Below are 7,638 nucleotides of genomic sequence, written 5' to 3' on the forward strand. Positions count from 1 at the left end.
TCTATCTCCCTACATAGTGTTGTGGGGAGTGTCCCTAGGCAGACAGTTGATGTGAATATAAGGCCTACCTCATGTGTTTTTCTTCCCGCAAAGACCACAGTGTTGTTTTATCCAATGCTTGAAAACAGTTGACTTATGACTGTTGTACAGCTTTCTAGTTGTTTACTTCAGAAGGGCAAGTCTAATTCCAGTTATTCCATCATAACTTGAAAAACAATGGGAAATACTTTTCTAAAGAGATAAGTCATGCAAATATCTGAGAAAAAGTATACTAGGAATAGATAACAAGTGCATCCTTCTTACACTATTATCAAATATGTTATTCACACTATATATAAAAGCCCACAGTTACAGGAGATATATTTTGGGGGAATGCAATTTATGTGAGGAAGCTTATTTATTTATTTATTTATTTATTTATTTATTCATTATGTAGTCTTAGTGGGCATAGAAAACAAGAGATATTTTTGTAAATAGAGAGCCTATATACAAAATCAGATAGAACACAAATATCCTTCCTTTGTTATTTGCATATACTGCCAAGGTAATCCACCCAATCCTATGGCTTACACATTGTCCCATGCTCAAACGTAGGACACTCTGAAATATATTTCTTCAACCTTGATTTCCCACTTTTAGGCCAATATATCTGATCCTCTATTCAACATATTATTAACATATTAGGCAAATTAAAACTAATGTGTCTGAAATCAAATTTGTCCCCACTCATCCAATGAAATAACTTATTTTCCCTAAGTCTTCCTTATCATAGTGAATGACAATTTTTATTCTTTCTATTGCTGAGGCTAAAAGCAAGGGGAAATCCTTGACTTCTCTCTTTCACAACTATATCACGATGATATTCAAATCTTATTACTTTTTACTTTTAATCTTGAATCCTACCAAACAGTGAAATTTGTTGGCTCTACTTCAAAATATGCTCCAAATTTTACCACTTATTACCTCCAGAACTGCAACTCTGAAGCAAGGTCACCAAAATCTATCACCTTGATTATTGCAATTGATTCCAAACTGTTTATATTCTTGTCCCCAGCCCCAGTAGACCCTTCTTACAGCAATCAGATGATTCCTTTAAAATATGAGTTGTAATCTCCCCAGCCAAAACTCTCCTATGTTCCCCAAACATGCCTAGGAAAAAAGAGGAAATCCTTAGTAAGGTTCATACCGACTTATGTGATTAGCTCCTTGCTACTTTTCTAACTGTATCCTCAACCACTATTTATGGTAGCACACTGATCTACTTACTGTTACATGAACAAATCAAACATCCCATCATAGGATCTTTACAATTGATATTTATTTTCTGGAAAATTCTTACCTCAAAATCCACGTGGTTCTTTCCCCCATATCACTATGGTTACTGCTCAGATGTCACCTGCACAAAGAAATCTATCATGACCATCCTATCAAAGTAGCAATCCCCTCATTGTGCTTTATTTTTCTCCTAGCATTCATCACTTTTGACATTATATTAAACATCATCAGTTTATTATACTCCTCCTCCACTACCATGTAAGTTAGATGGAGCCAGGAGTCTTGTCTGCCTTGCTTGATGTTGCATCCCCAGCAACTTTGATGTAGAAAGTAATCTCAATTTATCAGAGAGTAAATTGCCTGAGTTTTAATGGTCACAAAACTGAGAAGATACAGTTTTGAAACAGAAAAACATTTAGTCATTCATGCCCTTTTTACTGACTGTCTACTGTCAACAAGACAGCGTTAAAGAGCAGGTGATCGAACCTGATTTTCAAGTAAAGAGACATTTAACAAAGAATTTGTAGACATTGTAGATATGTCTCATATCTCATAGAAAGAGCATACAAAGTTGTTATATTTTGTTTAGCATAATAGATATAGATGATTAGTGCTATATGTTTTGTGAAAATGGTGGCTTCAGGATTTTTTAAGACCTGTGTTAGAAATATTCTCAAGGGTTTTTCAGCAACCATTACCTATCAGGGAATAGCTGCTCTCCAATACATACTTTTATTTTTTTCTTTATTGATAAACTTTCAAAATTATTATCACCATCAAATACAGATAGCTACATCTTATTCTTTATATAACAAAATATTGACCCCATGATAGAGCATAAGATACAAGACAGATTTTGAATCTCCATAGACTGCATTATCTCTTAAAGGGAGCTTCCTATTTATAAGATTGGGTCTTAGGTGGCAAGTAGGCCAATAAAGCATATTTATTATTCTTGCTTTTGTTAGTATTGTTGCATTTTTCTCCTTTCCCAAATGAAACATTTCACAAAGTTTATTGTATGTGCTAATTAGATTAGCAATTATCCATTAAGTTGGATTTCAAAGTACCAATCACATTTTATATCTTAATTTGTTACTTTGTCACTAATTAGAATAGCAATTTTTCTAATGGATTAAGTGTAAATTATAACAATTCAGTCCAATTTTTAAAAAGTCTACATATATTTAAGTAATTGAAATAGTAATCATTAGCTTATATTTGAATTTAATATATCACGTTAGTAAAGAGTCATATGACAGTTCAAGTCTGTGTAAAATATGGGAAAAATTATTAGAAAAAAACTAGAGTTAATCATTTCAGTATTGTCCAATTTTATCCCGGTTTGAGTTAAGAGATGAGTGACATATTATCTAATCATGCTTTTCAAGACAGATAAACTAAGTTCTCTGATAAGAACAACAACAACAACAAAACAGAACATAAAATACAATATATTAAAATATCCAAAGTACACTTTTTATGAATGAGCCTTTCATCTGGGAGTAGCTGATTAGTATACCTTCTGGTGCAGTAGTAGCCAAGATGCATGGACTAGATCAGAGACAAATAAATTAAATTTCAATTTTAAAATTTCTGATGAGTTTTGACATCTGAACTTTCAAAATTGTTCAAAGATTTATTTCTTTTTGCTGACTTTTAACAAATATTTTCTGAACAATTCTATTGACAGATGTTTTCTTACTATCATATTAGAGATACATCGAAGACATATAAAATGTTAGCAGTATGATACCATAAATGTACATCTGAAACTGCCTTTGCTAAATTATGACAGTAAGAGAAATCTGACCATTGACTCCCTATCTTGCTTCTAACCTCCAAGCTTTCCTTGGTCATCCTCAGCGTAGGCCATGCTACTTTGGGAGGAATTTAGTTTATAGTTTAATTTTAAAACAAAAATAATAATAGTCCCTCTGTACAATTAATTGCCTCACTGGATATTGAAATTGCCTTTGTAAGACTAATGAGAGGTCACAGGCTAGATTTAGTTTCTACAGTCCCTTACTAGGCAGGGGTAATGGGGCCAGAGGTCACAAGATTTGTGACTTTCTCAATTGCTCCTATGGATAACATCTAGGATTGGGTTTTTTTTTTTTTTTAGATGTTTTCAGACTGACCCACCCAAACTCATGACTCAACTAATCTGTTACCCCACCCAGAGGCAGACTCAGCAGCACAGGGACCATTTTTCACAACTTCTATGATTTCAGCCCCAACCAGTCAGTGGCACCCATACCCTAGACTCTGTCCACCAAATTGTCTGTAAAAACCCTAACCTCCAGGCATTCCAGGAAACTGATTTCAGTGATAACTCCAGTTCTTCTGCATGGCCAATCTCAAGTCGATTAAACTCTCTCTACTGCAATACCACTGTCTCAGCGAACTGATTTCATTTGTGCAGCAGGTAGGAAGAATCTGTCAGGCCATAACATATTTATTGGATAGACAATAGCCTATAAAATGACTATAAACGCTTGACTACATTAATGCCTTCCTACATTTACTACATTAACATTAATATTCTTTTGTTTATTTACTATATTTAATGATTATTTTAGTCAGGCACAAGATGCTGTATTGTTTAGGACAGTTCCCTAGTCTTAGGCTAAATAGGAATACCAGTAGAAAAAAATATAGCCTTTGTCAATTATAAACTTGCATAAATCCTGAAATTGCACTCTGCCCCACTATACTATTATTATATAACTCACTCTGGTTCTTTGCTCTTAGTTATGACCCCAGGATGGTAAAAGCTGATGTACATTTACAAATTAGTAAATACAGATATTTTAAGATACTGATAATTAAAAAACAGACCCATCAACCAATTAGGATAACAAATGTATTACTCTCTGTTCTCCAAACATCAAATGAAATATTACAATAAACAAGTTACAATTAACATTGTAAATATGTTAATGATCAAACTCTTGGCAAACAAACTAGTGAATACTTGCTTATGAAAGAGTCCATATCTATGGAATGCTTTTAGCAAGTTGTCTACAGTAGGTTCATGGTAAACAAATAGAAATCTTTGTATTTATGGGGCAGCTTTCTGGAAATGTCTCAGAAGCTATGTAACTATATGAATAGAAAGTGGAGATGTTTCTTGGCCCAGGCAACTTTCCTCTGTGTAAGTGATGTAGTTACTTATATTATACCAGACCTTTCCTTGTTTGTCTATGCTTGTGATTATTTATAGCATCTAAATGATTACTAAAGCTATCAGACTTGGTTAGATCTCTGATTCATATGATTGAGATTTGACAATCTGATCCTTTGTGTTATCATAGTATATGTTTAATATGTTAGGTTAACTACATGGCAGACTAAGTATTTTTAAACAGTCACATGATTGGGTGAAAAATATGTCACAGCCACTTAAAGTAGCTATCATTCAGGAATATGCGAAGAATGTATGATCTTCATCCTTGCAACAAATATTCCTAAAACTTAACTCTTTGTTTAAGAATCCAACAGTTAGTGCATTCTAAAGGTCTTTTGTCTATTAAGCCCAAGTATAAACCAATCCAATTTTTAGTAGGATTTTAGGAAGATAAGTTATGACACAAAAGCCATTAACCTATTCTGTACAGAGGGTAAGAGAGAGGGAATGAAAAATCAAATCAGGAGGTTAATTTTTACTCATCTATTTCAAAGCTATAGTAACATATCCTCCATTTACTTTAGGTTTTGATCTTCTCTTTAAATTCTCTTTTATTATTTATATCCTCCAAGTTTTTCCTCTCACCTTAAGCCATATGACTCTGTGTTCTCTTAATTATAATCATCTGCTTTTGTATGGATCTTTCTGGTTATGTTTATGCTTATACAAATATAAATGCATCACATGAAAACTTTCACATTTCTTTCTAGATTTCTTTTTTTTCTAAGTCCAGAAAGTGCCATTCTATTAAGCAAATTGCCCTTTTCTTTTTAACAAATTATATTTACTGTCATTAAAAATGAGCTCTTAAAAAAAAAGGGCTTACTATTCAGAGAGAAATTTCTTTCAGAATTCAGATTTTGATGAAGAGAAATTCTTAAAAATTATAACCTTACTACTTTTCAATCTCTCTCTTTCTCTTTTTCTTTTACCCCTGCTCAGTTCTCCCCTATATAAAAATGACTTATCTGATAGGTAAAATTGGGGAAAACTCACAAGCCTCCTATGGAACATAAGTTAGCTGCTAGTTCATGCTCTAAATCTTCCCATGTCATCTACAGTGCCCTCATGGGGAAGTTTGTCTGAGATCAGTTAGCCAAGGGTGGAGTCACTTTATGTCTGTTTCATGCTGAGGTTCACTGTGGGATTGAATATTTCACTTTCAATAATCATTACATTCCTGGAAAGATCTCAATGAATCATGTTTTTTTTTTTGACTTATCAATGCACAATTAGGTCATTTTTAAATTTCTATGTTTACAGTAAGTTTGTAACAAACATATTTGTAGCTACTTTTTCATATATTTCTGTGTTTTATGTCTCTAGACCAAATTTCTAAAATTGAATTTGCTTATACAAAGACTTCTGCATATTTAAAATTTTTATAGGTATTTTCAAGGCACTGTCAATAATTTTCACTAATTTATACTCACAACAATAATGTAAAAAAAGATTTTTCTACTGTAACATCTGAAAAGCTATTTATATTTTTATTCATTTTATTTTCATGAGGTTGAGCAAAATCTTATATATTTATCCTGTGTCTATTTTTCTGCAAATTTTACATTTATGCCCGATAACCTATTTTTCTTTTCTTTTTTTTTTCGAGACACAGTCTCACTCTGTCGCCCAGGCTGGAGTGCAATGATGTGATCTTGGCTCACTTCAACTTCTGCCTCCTGGGTTCAAGTGATTCTCCTGCCTCAGCCTCCTGAGTAGCTGGGATTACAGGCGCCTGCCACCACACCTGGCTAATTTTTGTATTTTTAGTAGAGACGGGGTTTCACCAGGTTGGTCAGGCTGGTCTTGAACTCCTGACCTCATGATCCGCCCGTCTTGGCCTCCCAAAGTGTTGGGATTACAGGTGTGAGCCACGGCGCCTGGCAGGTTTTTCTATTTTTTTTTTTAATATCTTTGCAAGAGATTCTTTTATGTTAACAAAATGTGTTCTTTTTTAATCATATGTGTTACAAATGATATTTTGTTGTTTATTTGTGACTTGCTATACTCCGTGTATCTTTAACACGCATATGTTTTGAAATTTTATGTAGTTAAATTTCTTATTGTTTTTTTCTTTATGGCTTCAGCATGTCAGGTTTAGAAACTCCTTTTTTGACTTCAAAGTTATACAATACTTTTTTTTTAACTTCCACAATTTTCTCCACATTAAACAGTAAAGTGGGGTGGTATGATTAGACTGGCTATTTTCATATTTTCCTTTCTATAAAAGTTGAATCACGTTTGAGGTTGGAGCAGAAATAGTAGTAAATGAAGAAAGGTAAGCCACCTTGAACTCCTAAAAAAGCAAAAAAAAAAAAACAAAAAAAACAAATGCAGAACAATATATGCATAAACAAACAAATGAAAAACATGGAAAAACATAGGGGTCAGAAGCATCTGTGGTACCTGTAATATGGAAGAGTTGATAAGTCTCTCTAAAAAAGGATGTTTTGGCCGGGTGCAGTGTCTCATGCCTGTAATCCCAGCACTTTGGGAGGCTGAGACAGGGAAATCACCTGAGGTAAGGAGTTCGAGACCAGCCTGACCAACATGGGGAAATCCCATCTCTACTAAAACTACAAAATTAGCTGAATGTGGTAGCGGACTCCTGTAACCCCAGCTACTCAGGAGGCTGAGTCAGGAGGATCACTCGAACCCAGGAGGCAGAGGTTGTAGTGAACTGAGATCGGACCACTGCATTCCAGCCTGCGTGACAAGAGTGAAACTCCATCTCAAAAAAAAAAAAAGTATGATTCAAAAGATTACGGTTTCTTGCTATATAAGGCAGCTACAGAAGGAAAAGGCTCATAAAAGTGGTGTTTTCCTTACTACTGAATGATTGAAAGATTGCATCTATTTTAATTTCAATTTGCTTCAATTTCTACCATGGCTTTAAATATATCTACTTTATTTCAGCTCACTTACCAATAATTCAGACTTATACAGGAATAGGTATTATCAGCTATTACCTGATAATAAGCAAATATAATAAATGTTATTTTCAATATGCAATATTAAAGTCTAATTTGTAATCTACCATTGTAACTCTAAGTAGGAATTAGAGTAAAAATGAATTCTAATTTAAAAATTTTAATGAGTTTAATACCTTGTATATGTTGAATGTTAATAATTATAGTAATAACTTACACTAAAATGTATAATTTTATAATCAG

The 7,638-nt window shown here is 33.4% G+C and overlaps 1 long non-coding RNA gene across 1 annotated transcript; it reads right to left on the reverse strand.

Moving 5' to 3' along the window:
• Positions 1-1,056: 1,056 nt before the first annotated feature.
• Positions 1,057-7,435, reverse strand: LOC124900709 (uncharacterized). The gene is made up of 3 exons (XR_007058130.1): positions 7,391-7,435; positions 1,340-1,396; positions 1,057-1,149 (listed from the first exon to the last, which is right to left on the reverse strand). It is a non-coding gene; the product is annotated as an uncharacterized LOC124900709 (long non-coding RNA).
• Between the last annotated feature and the right edge of the window lie 203 nt (positions 7,436-7,638).

The sequence above is a fragment of the Homo sapiens genome, chromosome 4, assembly GCF_000001405.40.
Source record: "Homo sapiens chromosome 4, GRCh38.p14 Primary Assembly".
Classification (NCBI taxonomy): Eukaryota; Metazoa; Chordata; class Mammalia; order Primates; family Hominidae; genus Homo; species Homo sapiens.